At 45.4% G+C, this 21149-nt stretch overlaps 1 annotated feature.

Annotated features, from left to right (window-relative positions):
• Positions 1-1200: an enhancer, noted in NCBI's record as "BRD4-independent group 4 enhancer chr2:217706511-217707710 (GRCh37/hg19 assembly coordinates)". NCBI's record gives its function as "activates an origin of replication core promoter dependent on BRD2, P300/CBP, MED14 and CDK7 cofactors, and independent of BRD4, by STARR-seq in HCT116 cells {active_cell/tissue: HCT116}" and the evidence as "EXISTENCE:reporter gene assay evidence [ECO:0000049][PMID:35650434]".

The raw sequence follows: 21149 nt of genomic DNA, 5'->3' as shown, positions 1-21149 counted from the left end.
AGGCTCTCAAAGCCTGTCACCTGACTTCGGACAACACCTGGGCCTCAAGTCAGCCCAGCATAGTAAGTTCAGCAAATGGCATCTCCGGAGACCGGCGCCTTCCGCGGAGAATGCTGACCTGGTGCTTTCTCCAGAACATCTGGTCTGGTTCCAGGGGAAGCAATTCACAGGCCTGAGGAGGAGGCAAACCGGCCATCTGGAGGGTGGGGCCTGGTTTGGGAGCAAGCGCTCTGGAGTTCAACTCTCTGTAATGCCACCGGATTGCCTGGTTGACAAGGAACAGGTTCCCAGCGTTAAGCCTCAGTTTATATTTCTATAAAATAGAGAGAAATCCCTGAAAGATTTCTACCTCTCCTAACACATCTGCACCCACACTTTACAAACCTCTCCTCATAGACTTCTCTTCAATACCCCCAATCCTTCCTTAGAGGGTCCCCAACCTCCAAGAGACAGTACTAGGGGAGAGTGCCTGTTTCCTTAAAGACAGAAAGCATGGCAAAGTAAAGCCACTAGTGAAATTTAAATACAGAATCTCTCCCTCTATTGCCTTCTGGTTCTGTTCTCTTGAGAACAACCATCCATGCAGCCCAGCGTAATAATGAGCAGGTCCTGGCAGCTGTGATAATGGCCCTTGTGTTCTCTAGAAGGGGAAAATGAGGTACAGAAAAAGAATTAACTTTTTTAATACATTTTAATTATTTTTTTACTACACCTGCATCTGTGAAAGGAATCTAAAAGGCTGGGTGATTCATTCAAGTTCAGAAGAGTGCGTGCCAGAGAGGCAATGCACCTACCTGCTGTCTCTTTCGACGGCGTGTAAAAAAGAAAAAACATCTGACTCAAATAGCTTAAACTTTAAAAGGGGCTTATTAGCTCACCTAATTTTAAAAGATGAAAGGTATGCTGGCTTCAATAGTTCCACTTAGAATTTTTTCTCTTCCTTTATCTCTGTTCTAACTTCAACTTCATCTTAACACTGGTTCCCCTACTGTTCTTCAGATAGCTGCCAGCAGCCCCCAAGGTCACGAGCTTCCTCGTTCACATGGAGAAGGAATGTAGGAGCTTCTTTGCTCCAGCATTCACAACGAAAGTCATGAAGTTCACTGGGACATGACTAGCTGAAGCCACCCAGAGGTCATCATTATTGGAGACTGGATATGCTATCTGACTGAGCTCCCCACTGAGCCAACAGCAAAAGCAGCTTCCCTGAACCACTTGAATTCCCAAATAAAATTGGAGGCCTCTGGGGAAAAGAAAGGCAAAATGGATACTGGTAAGATAACCAACAAGAATCTGCTATAGATACAAAGAGGTTTTTCAAGTTCAGAGCCGCAGGGTTTTAAAGTGAATAATAGCCATACTACCCACCCTTCTTGGACCTCTGGATGATGACAGAATGTCATGTCCCACCCAGACAAGTGTGCCCATGCACACACGTAGACACTTATCCTCTTTGGAACCCAATTCCTCATCTGGAAAATGAAATGTTAGAGTAGATCATCTCTAAGTGGTGGTCCACTTCTAAGATTCCATGACTATTTATGAAGCAGATGTGTCCCTGGGCTCTCTGAATCCACATACAGACCTATGCTGGTTAGTTCTTACTACAGACCTATCTCTGCTCTTCTTGGGCCCAGGGGTGCTCCTAGAACCTACCTCTATGAACTCTGTATAAGGGCACTCTTGCCAACTGGCTCTGGTTCGGTTTGGCCAACAGAAGACATCAGCTTGAGATGATGAGTTGGGAGGAAAGACATTTGGGGTGTCTTTCTTGCTCCATTCCTAATTTTGGCCTCCTTTTAATAGTGTCTATTCCTCTAAAGCCAGGCAGCACCTCCTCTACTATTCCAGCTCTCACTGGGATTCTTGTAACACTGATCCCTCCCCTTCCCCTCTAAGGCCAAAGTGTGTCCATGGTGTTCCACTGTTGCTAGTCTCTAGGTGCCTTGGCATTTCTTATTGGTTTCTTTAAACCTGTCCACACCTTTGAAAGTAGTGCTTTGTTGTTTCTTTCATTCTTTTTTTTTTAAATTTGAACCATTTGAGTTGAATTCTGGAACCTGACTGATACATATTTTATCAGTCAGTGAAACACTCTTGCATTCCTCTTCAAACATGCTTCCAGGCAAAAACAAACAAACAAAAAAATAAATAACTACTGAGGATTCCTTATTCTTACACATAGGCGCACACACATGGACATGGAAATAAATGGGTACTACCCTAGGGATACAAATAGATTTTAATTTCTATGACAATACTGCCAAATTGGTAGCACCTGTCAGGAACACTGAGTTGAGAAGGATTCTGTCTGTGCAGTAGGCTGAATAGTGGCCCTAAAAATGATACGCCCACATCCTAAAGCCCAGAACCTATGAATGTGACCTTATTTGAAAATAGGGTATTTGCAGATAATTAAGGATCAAGATGATAGCTCCCAGGATTTAGGGTGTACCCTAAACCCAATGACTGATCATTGAGAGAAAGGCCAACAGAGATTTGAGACACAGAGAGAAGTTCGTGTGAAGATGAAGCACAGATTGGAGTGATTCATCTACCAGTCAAAGGCTCCCAGCAGCCCCAGAAGCTAGGAGAGAGGCATGGAAGAGAGTTGCCCTCAGAGTCTTCCCGAAGGAACCAATCCTGCAAACATCTTGATTTCAAACCACTGGCCACTGGCCTTCAGAACTAAGAGAATAAATTTCTGTTGTTTTAAACCAGCAAGTCTGTGATAATTTGCCCAGCAGCCCTGGGAAACTAATCCAGTCTGCACCTTAACTCAGCTGAACAAAGTCCCATGCAGAGTCCGGGGCAGGACTCTACCGTCACTAGGCTATCCAGTTTGGACAGCTGGAAGAGCCACTGGCCTGTATGAGCATCTGTGCTCCGATGGGCTTCCTTATGAAAATGTGTGTATGTGGGCATTCTAGACTCCGGGAAACCAGTGAAATGCAGCACATACGGCACTCCAGAGAATACTAAAAGATGACCCGAAAGAATATGCAGACAGTTACAGTTAGAGTCTCAGGTTTCCTTGTGAGTATATGCATGTGCACACACACCCACAGCCTGAAGGCAGAGATGATATCTGTTTCATTTAGTGTTCTTTTTCTCCACCTGTCCTTGTGCCATATGGTGCTTTGCACACACTAGGCATGGGATCACAGTTTGATGAATGAAGGAAGGAGAGAAGAAAATGAATTCATTAGTTAGTGAATTCCCAGGATATGGACTGGAGCCAAAAGAAGCAGGTTGCTCTTGGATACACCAATAAATCCCTGTGCTGATCTATCCTTCCAAATAGGTGCAAAATGCTAAATTAAGAATCATAAATCTGTGGGAAAGTCAGAATATGAATCAAATTGATTTACCTGTGCCAAGAATTAGTTCAAACCTGTGCAGGCTCTTGCCTACAACCCTCAGACACACTCTTTTCTAGCACACTTGGGTATATAAGAAGGACTAAGTGACCCTGCTAGGTTAAACGTCTCAGTTTGATGACCAATTAAGGCAGCATGGCCAGAAGTCAGGGATGCAGACTCTGAAGCAAGCCTTCCTGGACTCACATCCCAGCTCTGCCACTGACTATTGGTGTGACCAAGGGAAGATGAGGTAACCTCTCTTTACCTCAGTTCCTGCATCTGTAAAATGGGGATAATCGTTGTACAACTTCATAGAGTTACTGTGAGGATTACATGACTTACTATTTATAGACTCCTTAAAACACTGGCTAATATAAAGAGCACCACAAATATGTTTACTGTTGTTATTCTTCCTTTTTGCATTCAGGTATAGCTTGACCAATGGACAAATTAGAGCTCTCAGCCAAGCGTGCTGGCTCACGCCTGTAATCCCAGCACTTTGGGAGGCGGAGGCAGGAGGATCACCTGAGCCCAAGAGTTCAAGGCCAGACATAATGAGACCCTTATCTGTACAAAAATACAAAAAAATAAAAATTAGCCAGGCATAGTGGTGCATGCCTATAGTCCTAGCTACTTGGGAGGCTGAGGTGAGAGGATCCTTGAGCTTGGGAAGTTGAGGTTGCATTGAGCCAAGACCCTGCCACTGCACTCCAGCCTGTGACTGAGAGACCCTGTCTCCAACAACAACCAAAAAAGAAAAGAAAAGAAAAGAAAAAAGCACGAAAAACCAAACAAACAAACAAACCGAACAACAACAAAAACAACACATCTGAGCTCACAAAACTTAACTCTGGACCTCAGAATATTCTAGCATCAGATGAAGGACTGAAGGATGGTATAGACAATGACTCATGCCGGGGAGCCCATAGTAGCCCATCAGCGAAGTGCGAGAAGTTAGTGGGACAGGCTAAGTCACAGATGAGAAGGCAGTAGAGGCAGGAAAAATGCCCTCCATTCTCCAATATGGACAGAAGTATTGCAGGAAGCTGGAGGCCTTGTATAAAATGCATTCTTTGCTTTGCATGGTCCTCAACCCTCTTTTCTTCTTTTCTGAGCTGAGAACACTGTCATTTTATGAAAAGAATAACAAAGATGCATATATGCCTATAAATGGAAGATGAAGTGGTGACTGAGGGCTTCCTCCTGCCAAGGAAAACAAGTGCAAGGCAGCTGGAGAGAGAGGAGCCACGGAAGTCTACAGAACCAGAAGCGCTCCATCTCCCTGGGACCTGGCTCTGGTCTGTGCAGGCTTGGCCGTCTGGGAACGGCAGCTCCATGGTCCTGCGGGAGAGACCTGCCAGGAACCTTGGGGCCACAAATCAGGAGTTGCTGGGAGCTGAATGCTGCAATTTGCCATGGGAAAAGAAAGAGACAATTGGAGGCTGGTGGCCCAGAGAAACCACTGCTGAATTTGAGAGACATCGACTGAAAGATTGCTGTGTGTGAGGCATGGAACCATGGGGCAGAATAAGCAAGGCTGGCATGCTTTCTGTCCTTGAAGACCTAGAGTCAATGGGGAGGAGACCTGTGAAAGTGAGAGTAAGACACATACAGATGTGACTGCACCTTCCGAAGCATCAGCTCTGCTTTGAATCCGGAAGAACTAGGTTTCTGAGCCGCAGGGGGCTCGCTCAGTTTAAGGAAGTGACATTGGAGAAGTTGTGAAGGAAGGGCAGGATTTAGACAAGGGGAGACGGGGCCATAGGAGGGCAAGTGACTGATGTGACCCGGTATGGAGGCAGGGAGAAAATGGCACCTTTTGGTGGGGGGATGAGGAGGAGCAAGGGATCCAATTTGACAGGTTGGGCAAAAATGTGACAAAAAATGTGTAAGTGCACAACTTGGTAGAGTGCTCTTGAAACCAGGCTGGGCAATCTGTGCCTGGTTCTGGAAGCAACGGAAACTCACTGAAGGGGTGGGAGGCTAGAGAGCATGTGACCAGCACTGGAGCCCAGGCTCTAGGATAACTTATGGGCAGCAAGTGAAGATGGACTGGAACAGAAAGAAAGAAGACTCCTTATGGCTGTCAGCCCTTGGAAAGAAGGAAACCTAAGGCTTTTGTGCGACTTAAAAAACAAAAAAAATCTAGCCAGGTATGGTGACTCACACCTGTAATCCCAGCACTTTTGGAGGCCAAGGGAGGCTGATTGCTTGAGGCCAAGAGTTTGAGATGAGCCTGGGCAACACAGGAAGACCCCATCTCTACAAAAGCTAGAAAAATTAGCCACGTGTGGTGGCGTGCACTGGTAGTCCCAGCTACCCGGGAGGCTGAGGTGAGAGGATCACTTGAACCCAGGGAGGTCGAGGCTGCCGTGAGCCATGATTGTGCCACTGCACTCCAGCCTGGGTGACAGAGAGAGACCCCATTTCAAAGTAATAATAATAATAAATAAATAATCAAAATTCCCTACCACAATTTACCTATGAGGACACCACTCTGCCCATCCTTCCTGCCTCATCTTGTGCCACCTTCCTGTGCTCCAGCAGCACTGGCTGGCTTTCTGGTCCTCTGACACACCAAGCCTTTTTGATCTCAAAGCCTTAGCTTGTCTCCAAGATGGTCACCATCCCTTCCCTCCTTGACGACACCAGCCATTTTCCCTTTGAGAAGGAGAGTCTAATTCTCCATGTCCTACAGTCTGGACTGTGACTTCCTTGATCAACAGGATACTGCAGAAGTGATACTAGCCCAGCCTAGGTCTAGTCTTTAAAAAGACAAGTGGTTTCCTCTTCCTTGCTCACTCTGGACAAAGCCAGGCTCCACAGAAGAAATTCAACCATCCCGAGCCCTCCATGCCATTAGAAAGCCCAAACTAGCCATGTGGAGAAGCTACATGGAGAGAGAGCGTTGATAGCAACCTCCACCTATTCCAGCCAGCCTAACCCAAAGGCCAGGCAAGGGAGTGAAGGGACTATCTTGAATATCCATTCAGCCAAGTCCAGCCTTCTGATGACTCCAGCCCCAGCAGCTGTCTGACTACCACTGCGTGAGAGACTCCGGTGGGAATTGACACCCAGCAGAGGCCAATCAATCCACAGGTCTGTGGGAAATAATAATAATAATACCTTTTTGTTCTAAGCCACTAAATTTTGGGGTAGTTTTGTCTTCTCTCTAGAATATTCTGTCTCCCTCACCCATAAGCTGACATCCCCCATGGCTGGTCATTGTCAAACTTCAGGCCCCAGCCCACTTTAGGGCCTTCCTTTCCCACCCTACCTACATACCCCGGGTCCCCACCACCCTGAATGTCATTGTGTTACTCATACTCCTTGCACCCTTCCTGATGTGTCTCATAAATGACTTATTCTGTTAGTGACTGCTACCTCTCTCCCTTCACTAAACATGGGCCCTCTGAGGTTAGAAGCCATGAATACTTGAACCACTATTTCATTACCATACCTAGCAGACAGTATGTGTTCAATAAATATTTGTCAAATGGGTGAATAAGTCATAATCTCTCTACATAGCACAGAGCCACCAACAGGATGATGATAAATTTCCAGAGCCCCAGTGGTCTAACAAGCAAATAAGTGAGTAATTACATTTAGCTGTGACATTAGTCTTGCTCCAAGGGGTTCATAAGCTACTTTAAAAGTCTTTAAAGTATGTTCCTTCTGTATCCCCCAAAGCAGCTCATCTAAGAAGGGCTGCATAGAAGCTGTTCATTACATAGTCACTGATTTATTGATAGAAAATTGAATCAAAAAGCAAGTCTGGTCAACAGAGCAAGATCCCATCTCTACAAAAAATTAAAAATAAATTAGCTGGCATGGTAGCATGTGCCTGTAGTCTCAGCCACTCAGGGTGTTGAGGCAGAGGATGGCTTAAGCCCAGGAGGTCAAGGCTACAGTGAGCGGTGATTGTGCCACTCCACTCCAGCCTAGGCAACAGAGTGAGACCCTGTCTCAAAAAAAAAAAAAAAAAAAAAAAAAAAAAGGAATAAAATTGATCAAAAAAACCCAATGATTTAATGGATGGGTTATAATAGTAGAGTCAATTCTAGGAGGTCTGACACCAAAGGGATCCCCCTAAGACTGAAAGAGATCATTTAAAAGACAATCAAGAGAGACTGAGGTTGTTTTCTTCTCTTTTAACAACTCTCCTCAATGCAGAGAAATGTACAGAGTATGTCCATCTCCATCTCCATGGTAGCAGGAGGCAGGCATGATTATTATTCGTCACATAATTATAAAGAGCCTCCACGTGGTTATTCAATTATCAGATGAAGAAACTGAGGTTCATGGGGGAACCTCAGGGAATTCTAGGAAATTGTAGGAGCCGGCCACAAGGCTACTATTTCTTATTTCCAGTGGCCCAGGGGTTAGTGAGGAGGAATCCAATCAGAAGTCTGATTGGAATTTAAGGAATTCAAGGATGATGTCAGGCAGTCAAACACTGTGGATCGCCAGCCCTAATCAAATCACAGATGGGATTTATAACTCCCTTGCCCATCAGTGGTCCAAGTCGCGTTGTGTGTATCAACACCTCCCTTACCATGACAGCTAGTTTTGGTCCACACTAGGTGTGTCCATTTTTATGTTGAAGGGTGTCAAAATTATTACAAAGCTCCATTCTTTCTTACCAGACCAGTCTTATGCTGCTTTCTTCTCCCATTTCTCCAGTACCCCTCACCTCTTTCTATGTCAGCCAATCTTTCCTGGTTTGTTTCTGTTGGCCCTCTCCTAATGGTCTCTGAGTTTCTGCCTCTTTCCTGTATCCTGATGGTACTGCAGCATACTACCGAGATGGCCTGGGGTATCTTCTCAGTCATCTTTGACCACAGGCCACAAGGGAGCCATAGAGGAGAGAGAAGGCTCTTCTATGAGAAGTGGCTGGTACAGGTGAGGAGATCCGTGTTACAGGTGATTGGGAGTCAGAAGACCAAAGTCCTTATCCCAGTTTTGCTGCCTCCAGCCATGTGACTTTTATTCAAATGCTTAACCTTGTGAACCTCAGTTTCTCCATCTGAAAAATGAATAACCACGTGGAGGCTCTTCATAATTATGTGAATAATAATAACCATGCCTGCCTCCTGTTACCATGGAGATGGACATAGACATACTGTGTACATTTTAACTGCTAAATCTATGTATGGAAATACACTTTTGGCTGTCTGGTCTCACCTAGCTTGAAAGGTCTTGTGTTCCTGTCTTGGCTCTGCCCTTAATGATGTCACCTTAGATAAGTCACTGTCCCACTTTGAGCCTCAGAATCTTCAACCACAAAATAAGAGAGTGGAGTGACCTTGGAGGCATGAAATAGGACCAATATTCTGGGTCTATTTCACCCACTTTTTTATCCCCACCATTGTGTTTGGTGTGTGGTAGGCACTCAACAAATGTTTGCTGAATGAATGCATGTGAAACGTGATATTTATGAATAAGCCCTAAAAATACATGTTAAGAGTGGCTGAAGGAAATCTGGCTAGGAGCAAGGTGCCACATACAGGAGGCTTCCAATGAAACCCAGCTGGCCAAGGGCACATCCCCCTCTCCCTCCACATCTCCACACTGTCTGTCCACATTCCCTGAGAACCTGGCCTGGGTTGCCGCCCCTACATGAGCTCTGGGCAGATGCTGAGCATCTCTAAGCCAGATCACAGTGGAAGAGGCAGAAGTAGAAGAAGAGAGATGAGATGGATATGGAAAAGATGGGAGACCCTAGGAAAAGAAGGCAGGATGCTTCAAACTTTAGACTCTGACAGCAGAAAAAAAACCTTTGCAATCAGGTGATCAGGTAATGAAATTTCTCATTGTCTACACAAGGAACTTGGAGGACAACAAGATCACCTGGTTCATTGGTGATTAGGCAAGTTTGAATTTTAAAGGAGAACAAAAGTGTTGCTCCGTAGGATGTCCTAACTACTTCATGTAATTTCCACCTCGCCAGACTTTCCAGAACCTGGAAGCAGGAACCATACCACCTCCCTCATCTTTCTGTCCTCTTTCCTCCAGGCTCCATTCCCCACCCCACCCTCAGCCCCACATCTCTGTAGCACACAACAAAGGGAACAAATGTGGAGCAGATGCCCTGTAAATCATGAGGCCCATGGGCTGGGAGCAATTTCCTACTCACTGGAGAGCCCCTCTTCTACCTCAATGCAGCCACATCTGTTTCCCTACATCACAGAGGGACCTGTTGGTCTCAAAGGAGGAATTCACAGGGCTTCTCTATCACCTGCCTGGGAATGGGTAGGAGCTGGAGGAGGACTGCCGTTGCCAGAGACCACATGAGCACTGACCTCTGGCCCTGGCAGCAGCAGTAGCTGCTGTTGCAATGGGTCTCTGCCATGCCCCAGTCCTCGGGGAACATCTGCAGATCAGTGGTTGTCTTGGAATAGGCCATGGGAAAGTCAAGAGAAGCCACGGCTCTTGAAAACCATCCCAGAATCCCACTGGAACGCTGTGCCAGAATACACTGAGCCCTAAAGGTCTTGGGTTTTATGCTATTTTACTCATTTTTATTTTTTGGCTGCAGTTTTAGTTGGAAATTCAGAACACTAAAGTTATCCCAGGGCATTGGTTCCAAGCAAGTCACATAGCTCTCCTGCAGCTGATAACTACGGGACCTGTGTTCAGGATCCACAGCAAATGATGCAAATCAGCCTAGCCACCAAGAACAACCAGTCTCTAAAAGAGACCCAAGTCCAAGGAAGCAAAGACTGAGACCAAAACCCAAATCTTGTCTCCACTCCTTAAATCTTCCTGCCATGGCCAGGGGAACGTAAGTTACTTGAGGGCAGGCACTTGCCTCATTCATTTCTGAATTCCCAGTACCTGGAGCAGCCCCTAACACACAGTAGGTCCTCAGTAAGCATTTGACTAAAGAAATGGATAGGCCGGGCACGGTGGCTCACGCCTGTAATCCCAGCAGTTTGGGAGGCCGAGGGAGGTGGATCACCTGAGGTCAGGGGTTCAAGACCAGCCTGGCCAACATGGTGAAACCCTGTCTCTACAAAAACACAAAACAACAACAAAAAAAAAGTAGCTGGGCATGATGCTGGGTGCCTGTAATCCCAGCCACTAGGGAGGCTAAGGTGGGAGAATCACTTGAACCTGGGAAGAAGAGGCTGCACTGAACCAAGATCACACCACTCATGGCACTCCAGCCTGGATGACAGAGCAAGACCCCATCTCAAAAAAAAAAAGTAGATAAACTACTAGGCCATACAAAAGAATCTCTAGGCAGAGTGACCTCATCCCACAGCACCGCTCATCTTAGAATGTGATAGGAGAGGTGATAGGAAGGCAAAGGTTAGCAAACTGGCCCATAGAATTCTGTTTTTGTACAGTCCGTGAGCTAAGAATCCTTTTCACATTTTTAATGGCTGGAAAAAATGCAAAGAAAAATAATATTTTATGACACATGAAATACATGAAATTCTAATTTTGGTATCTATAAATAAAGGTTTATTGGAACACAACCACTCCCATTCACTTATTGGTATTTTCTGTGGCTGCTTTTGAAGAACAGCAACAGAGCTGACTAGTTGCAATAGAGACTGCATCACCCACAAAGCTGAATGTATTTGTTATCTAGCCATTTACAGTAAGAGTTTTCCAACCCCTGGCCTAAAGAATCTCCCCAGTTAGGTACATGTGGTCTAGATCCCCAGCGTTAACTGTTTGGAGTTAAGCATTGTTCTCTCAGCTCTTCCTTTTTTCATTTTTATTTATTTTTATTTTATTGCAAATTGACAATTTGTAATTGTATCTATTTATGGGCACAAAGTAGTGTTATGATTTATTAATACAATGTGGAGTCATTAAATCAAGCTAATTAACATATCCATCACCTCATGGCTCTTTCTTTTAAATAGAAGCCTTTCTAGGGTGGTTTAAATTACTCTTAGTAGTATAAATTTTTTGACAATTTCTCTCCCTGAAAAAAGGGACGTGATCAAGGATAAGGAGAAACAAGGGAAGACATATTTTTAAAAGGGTAAAGGACACAAAAAGGGGAACTTCCACCAAGAAAAACTGGGTGCACTTTATAATGTTCCTAATGGCCGGCACTATACCAGGGCTTTGGGAAAGGACACAAAACAGGAAACTTCTCTGAGTTCACAGAAGGACCCCTTACCTTGCCCTGAAACAGCCACAGCCCTGCCCAGGCTGGCTCCTCCAATCTGGCCTCCTTCAGTACCTCATCCGTCCTGAGCAGTGTGAGCGATGCTGTCTTTGGACGTCTCACCTGCACCATCCACAGGGCACCACACACAACTCTCCTGAGCAGTGGAAATCATGGTATTGTTTATTTAGATCCAGACATACCAAATGACATCCATCCCTTCCTCCCCGCAGAAAACACTCATCACAGCAATCCAGTCAGCAAACAAAATGACTACCACTTGCCATTTCTGATTCCATGCTTGCCTCGAGACAGAGAACTCCTTGCAAGTACAAATTCTGCCTTAGTGATTTTTATTTCCCTGCACCTAACACAACATCTAACTTGTGGTACGTATAATATTCAACTAAAACTAGTCCTCTCCTCTTTTTCCTTTTCTTTCCCTGTCATGCAGCTAGGAGATGCATGGAATCCAATGCTCTTTCCACTGAAGTGGAAAGTAGGCTGCTAACAACCTCCCCAGAATCCTTGTAAGTAACTCCTCCCCAGGGGAGAACACACATCTACAACTTGAGCCTGGAATTCAGGTCAGCTTGGTATCAACACTCATCCAGGGTCTCCCCATGGCCAGTATGGCTTTTGTCCCCCTTAGATATGCTGGAGGAGGAGTCATCTAAGTTTGTTTTTCCTCTCTAGTCTTCTGATCAGCTAGGAGGATCCAAGGTTCCAACTGAGTTCTCTTGCTTCACCTTGGGCAAGAGGAGAAAAAACAGTCACTTGTACACCTAACCACAAACCCCTGACCCTCTTCAAGGCAGAGGAAAGTAACTTTCCAAACTCTTCTTGAATAAGAAGAAAAGAACCTCTCCTCTTTCAACAGGTATTTCTGGCTGCTGGGGAGGGTGTTATTAATACAAGAATCTAAACACAATAGCCTGTCTCCTGGCAGCTGCCATTCCCATGGCAACCTCTGACTTTCACGGACTCCTTTGGATACTAAGGGCCTCAGAGACAGACTTCTAAAACAACCAAATTTTTCAAAAGTGAATTCTCAGGGAACTTATTCCTCTGTCAGAACAGACCCCTCCTAAACTTCCATTTAAAGAGAAAACCTAAAATCTGCTGTTTTAAAAAAAAAATAACAGAAACCCCCATTAAGTGCTGTTATCACACCAACCCTCAAAGCTATGGAAATGGACAATATAGAATTTAAATTTCACAGGTGAAAAAAAAAGTGTACTAAGTGTGAGTTGAGGATGGGAGATGGAGATCTGGTGGACTACCAGCAAATGGAGATAGCCATGAAGAGGCATATTTGGGAAGGTAGTTCACAAACCTGAACCAGAAGAGACTCACCTGGAGAACATGTTCAAATACCGATTCCCAGGCCCTGTCCCCAGGGATTCTGATTCTGTAGGTCTGGAATGAAACCTGGATCACTTTTGAAAGCTCTTCCAGTGTCCAGATGAACATTCAAATTGGGAAACCAGCAATCTGAAGCCTATTCCTTGCCCCTTCCCCACCATGGTCCAAGGGTCTCCTGGCTCTTAGCTCCCTCAATTCCTGCCAGCCCTCAATTCTAGAACCAGAGTAAAAGAAACTCATTTTCTTTAAAATAAAAGGAAGAAGTCGCAGCCCTGAAGTGCACGTGTGCTCTGTTAGGCGCTGTACCCAGGGAACCTTGGAGCTGGAAGCCGACTCCAGCCCTGAGCTGTGGGAAGGTTATGTCATGCTCTTGGCTTGCTGCCTGGTTTCCACTGGGGTTGCTGCCTGGTATATTTTAGGTGCTGGGTTTGCAGGCTAGTACTCTGACCTTCCTTGGCTCTCCCCCAGGGAGCAGCCACCAGGCTCCTGCTGTATCAAGAGCTACAAGGTACAATTTCCATGGCATCCAGGTAACAGGAACCAACTGGCAGCAATAGCTGGGACCTGCATTAGACCTGGGGAGGCAGCCTGCTGGAGAAGAAAGGTTCCCGGATGTGAGCCTTTGCACGTGGTATTAGCACGGCTATTCACAGCTGTGGGATTCGGGGCTAGCCACTGTCCTTCCATGGGCCTCAGTTTCTCAGCTATGAAACTAGGGGCTCAACAAGGGGTTCAGCATAGAATAGTGGAAGGAATGTGGATTCTGGGGCCAGAAGACTGAGGCTCAAATCCTAGCTTCATCACTGACTTGCTTGGTGATGTTGGGCAAGTGCCTGAACCTCGTCGTGCATCAGTTCTGTCATCTACAAAATGAGTGTAATGGTACCTCTCCCACAAGGCTGATGTGTCAAGTAAAGATGATGTGTGCCAAGTGCTTGGCTTACACACCACTGGAGATCCAAGACACCCACACACACACACTCACTTCTTAACCGGGAACCTGATGAAGTGGGTGCCAAATCTGGATAGAGATGGTCTGGAGGGGGTTTAGAAGACGGAGAAGTTTCTCTGTGCATAGCACATAGGAAGAAAGGGAAACATGAATTTCTGAAGGAAACGAAGTTTGAGTTAGGATTTTGACAAATTGAGAAAATATGAATAAGCAACTACAGGACAAAAAACTGAAGAATAGAAGAAAAAACAATCTGGAATCCGGATTGGGAAATTTGGATTCTAATCCCAGCCCTTTCACTGTCCAGCTTTGTGGTCTGCTGATATGTTGCCTCTGTTGCAGGAAAAAAAAACAGGTTCTTTTCACACTACTCGGAAAATTTAGGCTCACGGACACATTGTAGGGTGAGATGCGAGGAAGGGTTTATTGGGTGAAAAAGGAAAAAGGAAAGAGGAACTCTCAGCAAAGCGAGAGAGTCCTGCTAGCAGGCCCGCACCTTGCAGACTGAATCCCAGGCCACTACATAGGAACTGAAGAGGCCAGACTCCTCCTCCCTGCTCCACCTGCTTCCTTTGGTGCGCATTATTCAGACAGAACCAATCAGGAAAGGGTGGACTTCATCCAGGACCAGCAGTCCGGTTTTTCAGCCTTCAGGATTGTTTTAGGTTTTAGGTGGGTTTTCGCCAGGGACCCTTGTCTGTCTCCTGTCTCTATCACCTCTTTATCTATGGAATGGGGCTGTGGCAAAAATTAACAAGATGACTTAGGAGAAAGCACCTTGTATAGTGCCTGGAACACAGTAGATGTTTACTGGATGGATGGACGGATCTATGGACAGACAGAGGATGGATTCCAGATGGAGAAAGTGGGGTGGGCAAAGGAATAGAAAGAGGAATGCCCAAGGCATCTTTATAGGTCAGTGGGTATATCTGCACAGTTCAGCAATTTCTGAAGAGTGTTCTTGGAACTCTAGCCCCTAAGATACTCCTAAGGGGAAAAAAAAACATATTCCCTGGTCAATTAAACTTAGGAATGACAGTTTGATACACCACTCTCCTGATGATTTGCAATAAATGTCAACGTATAAATGATTCTGCAAAGTTCTTTCTAGTTTTATTTATACCCAGTAGTCCACAATCCATTTCACTTCTAAACCAGTTTTTCACATTAAATTTGTTAATTTCACACTGAACTTGGCAGAGGTCTTCCTGAAGTAAACTAAGGAGGTGGCGGCAGAGACCCTCGGAAGAATTACTTGGGGTTTTCTTTGTGCTCCTGCTGCACGCAGCTTTAGGAGCTGCCTGTGCAGCACTGTGTAGAAGCACCCTGGACAAGACAGGCAAGCATATTGAAAACAGGGTCCTGTGCTTCTATGCAGCCGCCGCTGCTGAGCCATATGACCTTGGGCAAGTTCCTCAACTTTCCTTTGCCTCCATTTCCTCACCTATAAAGTCACAGTACTTACCTCACAAGGTGATTGCAAGAATCAAATGAGCTAAGGTACCTAGGGAGGTTAGCATGCTGCCTGGCACTTAGCAATCTGTCAGTAAAAATGGTGCCGGTATGATTAGGTCACCATCTGAATATTCTCAACCAGTCATTCTCTAATATCCAGCAGGACTTGGACGCTGAGTCCTGAGGGTAGTAATCATACCAATTTCTGCCTCCCTCTTCCTTGTGGGGGTCAGCCTAGAGCCACACACCAAGAGGAGGTGAGTCAGGCCATTGCAAAGGAGGCAATGATGGTGATGTCTGCTTCGTGCTTTCTCTGAACACAGAGCAAAAGAAGGGCCCTCTTTCAGAAAAGCATCAAGTCTCGCAGGCTGGCAGCTGGCTACCAGGAGATGGAGAATCTGCTTAGTCATTTCTTAACAGCAAGAACAAGTGGCTTAGAGAAGAAGCCAGCTATACCCCCTGGGAGGTCAGCCAAGTACCGCCTAAAAAGAGAAAAGCAGAGAAGCACAGAACCCCAAGTGCCTGGATCTGATCAGAGCCATGGGGCAGAGACAACTGGCTCGCAGTGTCAGAGACCCATGCCCTGCACAAATGCCTGCACTCCAGGCTGGAGGGGGATGGGCCAGCTTCACCTCTGGCCAGAAAACCAAGTCCCCAGCTCTCCTCCATTTGTGGAAGAATGTTTGCTGCTCTGCAGAGGCCCTATGGTCAGTTTCTCCTCCTTGATTCATTCACTCATTTAGTTAACATTTATTGAATGCTTACAAGACGTCACAAGGGATACAGTTGTACACAAGACAGGAAAAGTTTCTGCACTGATGGAGTTCACATCTTAGTGGAGAGAGACAGAAAATACGCAAATAAAGAAATAAAATAATGTCAGGGAGTGATAAGTGCCTTAAGGAGAAATAAGTCAGGGTGAGGGTGAGAGAGAGAGATCAATAGATTAGGAGCTAGAGAAGGATGGAGAACTAGAGGTCAATGGATTAGGAGCTAGAGAAGGAAGCCTCCTGAAAGAAGGGACCTCTGAATTGAGATGGGAATGGAGCAAAGGAAGGAACCGGAAGAAGATCTGGAAGGAAAGTGCCCCAAACACAGCAAGTGCAATGGCCGTGAGACCAAACTGAGCCCCACATGCTGAAAAGCAGCCAAACTGGCTACGGCCAAAGCGGGGGTGGTCAGGAGAAGCAGGAGAGAGCTACAAGTGAGGTCAAGAACCTGCGCAGGCCAAGGCAAGGATTTTGATTTTATTCCCAATGCGACGAGAAGCCATTGGGAGATTTTGAATGAAGGAAAGGATAAAGAGCTCACCCTGACGACTGAGTGAGGAACAGATGGAGAGCGGTGAGAGTGGGCTCAAGGAGAGCCCTTGTGAGGCAGGTGCACAGCACAGGTGCGAGCTGATGGCAGGAAGGAGGTGAGATTTGAAGGCGGAGTGACGGGACATGCTGGTTGATGGATTGCAGGCTGTGTGCGGCACTGAGGATAAAGGCGGACCCCCAGAGTAGCCGCCCTTTTCCTGAAGTGTGGAAGGCTGTGCCGCAGGAGGAACCTTCTGGGAAAGGAAGACAACCTAAGGCTTTGGATGCACATGAGAGGCTGGAGATGCCTTTTGGACATCCATGTTGAAATGCCAGCCTGGCAATTGACTGTGTCTTAAAGCCTTTTGGATCCTTGAATCCAGACAGGATTGAGCGCACAATCAGAAGTATAACATTTGAGAATGAGACCCTAGCAAGATTATTTAGTTCAATGCTTTTGTTTCACAAAGGGGAAACTGAAGCCCCAAGAGGGGAAGAGACTCAGTCAAGGTCAAACAGCAATCTGCGTGTAGTGCCAGAACCACAGTCCACGTCTCCTGTGCTGACCCCCACAAGCTATCTTTCCAGTTGGAGTTTTCTTTCCACTCTTGTCAAAATTGTTTCCCACTGATTTCTTGAAGTTATTTGCACATTCTCTAAAAATTTTCCCTGTTTCACTATGGGGAAAGTTGTTTCTTTTTTCCTTACCCAATTTAATTTTCTCCATCTGCAATTTAAACTCATTCTCTATTTTAATCATTGTTTTGTTTTTACAAAATGTGCATGATGTTGCTATACCTGACTTTTAAAACAATTCTGTTAGGTAGTTAGAGTATGCATTTTGGTTACCATTGACAGATGAGGAAACTGTAAGCACAATGGTCAGATAAATTATATTCAGTCCCATAGCTAGTTTGAGACAACCAAACTAGAATCTAGTGCATCTTGAGTCTTTGCTCATGGCTCTTCCTTGTGGGCCAGAAAACATTTTTAAGCCCAGGCCCTGCCATCCTTCAGCAGCTGAGGACTTCTAGCTCTTCAGAAAGAGGAAGATAATTAACATTACCTCAATCTTACTCTTCTTCAATTCACATAATACTTTCTCCTTTAAACTCTCCTCTCTATGGCACAGATTGATTCCTATTGGCTAAATCCATTTCCTCTTTTTCCTGGGCACGGAGCTGAACTACCTTTCCCAGGCTCTCCTGTATTTAGATGTTTCTATGTGAGTGATTTCTCACCAGTGGAATTTGACCGGAAATAATGCACACCCTTCCTAGTCAGTCCTTAAAAATCTCTCAGGCTCAATTGCCTAGTGCTTTTTCCTCTTCCACCAGCTCGATGTAAATGAGCATGGCTCCCTTGGAGCCAAGTACCTAAGATGTAAGAACCTCAAACAGGAAAGATCCTGCTTCCCTGTATCACCACTTGGAGGAAAATGGCGTGCTCATTAGGGAAACACATTTTAGACCTTTTGTGAACAAGAAGTAAATTTCTACCATGCATGGGCCATTGTATGTTTTGAGATTTGTTTGCTACAGCAGCTAGTATATCGACCTGGGTTACAGACAACTGATTCAGGCTTAGGAAGACACTCAAGAGTATCTACATTCCAACACTTAGACTTAGCATAGAACCAGTGGTTGAAGTAGAAGGAAGAAGCTCAGAGACCATAAACCATGACCTTCCTTATTTAAAAAAGAGAAGAAAATGAGATCCATAAATGGACACATCTGGCATGTCTAAGGTCATGGCAGCTAAAAGGTCTCTACAGGACTCCGGGGTTCCTTGCCCAGTGCTCTTTCTAGACCACGTTGCCACTCTACTAACAGATGGGGGGTACAGTGTCCAAGACAGGCTGGAGAACAGGACTCAGATGAAGCTCACTATGTCTTCCATGACTGTAACCTAAGTCTCATTTGTAGAGGTTCACATCCATCTCTTCATGCTCTGAGCTCAGGGAGGAGTAGCTTGTCACCTTCCTTCCCATAATAACCTTCCTGACACTTAAGGATGAATATTAAATTACTTCTCAGTCCTGGCTTCTCTAGCACAGCTGTATTCTCACAGGTATATCTCAGTATTATGAGAAGTAAAAGGCAAATGTGATCATAACAGCCCCAAACCTTCATCATGGTGGTTGAAATGTAGGTCCGCACTGAACTGGCCCCCGGCCCAGTTGTCTCTTCTATCGCTCAAAGATGTCTGAGTTTTTGCTCATAGGACTGTACTCTGGTGGAAGAAAAAGGGGATGGTTTGGGTTGAGCCAATGTTTTTTATAGACACACTGCCCAGTCTCACACTTTCTGAGGTCCCTTGAGCACCAAGCTGGAGACTACAGCTTTAGCCCTGTCTCAAGTAGGGGATGTGCAAATATACGCTTTTCAAAGACCATTCCAGGGGTCTAGGGGTCTTTCCTTTCTTTCTTTCTTTTTTTTTTTTTGAGACAGGGTCTAGCTCTGTCACCCAGGCTGGAGTGCAGTGGTGTGACCACGGCTTACTGCAGTCTCACTCTCCTAGGCTCAAGTGATCTTCCCACCTCAGCCTCCTTAGTAGCTGGGAATACAGGTGCATGCCACCATGCCCGGCTAATTTTTATATTTCTTTTATTAGAGACTGGGTTTCACTATATTGTTCAGGCCGGTCTCAAACTCCTGGGCTCAAACAATCCGCTCACCTCAGCCTCCTGAAGTGCTGAAATTACAGGAGTGAGCTACCATGCCTGGCCTATTCCAGGGTTCTTGAACCCTTCTGCTCCACACCCTTATCGATAAAAGTACTTTGATCACTTATCCCCAATATATATAAGTAATGTCTTTAAATATTTAAGTGATATGCCTGTGCTATATATGAGTCAGTTATGTAGCATTCACAAAAATGAAATTTTTTAAAGGATGAGATTAAAAAACAAATGGGATTAGAAGTGTCAACAATTTTTTCCCTGGCCCTGCTGGACCATTCTACTCCCCTCTTCAGAAAACATTTGGTCCAGGCTGGGCACGGTGGCTCATGCCTGTAATTCTAGCACTTTGGGAGGCCAAGGCAGGCCGATGAACTAAGGTCAGTAGTTCAAGACCAACCTGGCCAACATGGTGAAACCCTATGTCTACTAGAAATACAAAAAAATTTAAAAATTAGCTGGGCATGGTGGCAGGTGCCTGAATCCTGGCACTTTGGGAGGCTGAGGTGAGTGGATCACTTGAGGTCAGGAGTTTAAGACCAGCCTAGCCAACCTGATGAAACCCCATCTCTACTAAAAATACAAAAATTAGCCAAGCATGGTGGTGGGCACCTGTAATCCCAGCTACTCGGGAGACTGAGGCAGGAGAATCACTTGAACCCAGGAGGCGGAGGTGGCAGTGAGCCAAGATTGCACCACTGCATTCCAGCCTGGGCAACAGAGCAAGACTCTATCTCAAACAAACAACAAAAAATTTAGTCCATCAGAACTTTTGGACGCCACAAACTGACAACCTACAGGTCAAATGTGGCCCACAGATGTGTTTTGTTGGACCTGAAAAATGTTTTCTAAACTTTCTGTTAGTTCCCAATACTTAAAAATTGGAAAAGTTCACATGAAAATCTAGAGATTTTTATCAATTTCATTCACTGCTTTAACCCCAGTGTCTGATACACAGTAGGCACCCAATAAATATTTGTTCAATTGAATTTCTAGCTTCTCTCCAAAAAAAAAAAATTCAAGCTGGCATTTCTTCCTGGCAGTAATCGCCTGGAGCTGAGTAGTGATTACTCCCTTTAGCAGGGTGTTGGCCTACCAGTCCTGAACCACAGTCCCCTCCACTCCCTGTTGTCCTATATCCAAACAGCTTCATACTGGTGATTTGCCCAGCCCCCATCAGCATCTGAACAATTGTTTTCATCTCAGGGTTTTCTGGCTGTGTGATGGCCTCAGTCACCCTCCATGAGTTAAACAAAAACAATATTCCACCTAGAGTCCAAAGACACAGGTTTGAGCCTGATTCTGCCAATTGCCGTCCTTGGGAAATTTGCTTTCTGAGCCAATTCTCCTAATCTGGAAAATGGGGATGGCAATACCTTCTTCACAGGTTGTTTGACAATCAAAACAAACAAGACAATATCTGTGGGCTGCTTTATAAATTGTAAAGTATTATGGAAATGTGAACACTTTTCATTGTTGCAGTTGCATTCATCCCTTAAAAGTATCCACTGTGGTGATAGTGATGGAGATTCCTAATGCCAAGCTCTTGAGCTCACTACACTTCCCTACATCAGCCATGTCTCTCTCTATACACACCCCTTTCCCAGCCCTCCCCTCTCATCTACCACTTTGGATTTCAGGGTTGAATGGGAAGACAAATGAAGGAACAGGCTGAAGAGTAAAGAAGAAGCCACAACACTCAAGGTTGGGTTCCATTTTTTCTACTAATATTGACTCCTTTATTTCACTCTTTCTCATTTCTAAGTCACTACACCCTTGTGACTTAATTCACTGTCACTGTACCCAGTGTCTCCACTCTGCGTCCTGAGAGCCAGTCACTGCCTCCTCCCTATGTCCCTGAATCCAGACCCCTCACGGACTGCTAATCTGGGTATTCACCCCC

This window comes from Homo sapiens, chromosome 2 (assembly GCF_000001405.40).
Source record: "Homo sapiens chromosome 2, GRCh38.p14 Primary Assembly".
In the NCBI taxonomy this organism is placed as follows: Eukaryota; Metazoa; Chordata; class Mammalia; order Primates; family Hominidae; genus Homo; species Homo sapiens.
This window is presented reverse-complemented; position numbering and strand designations above follow the sequence as displayed.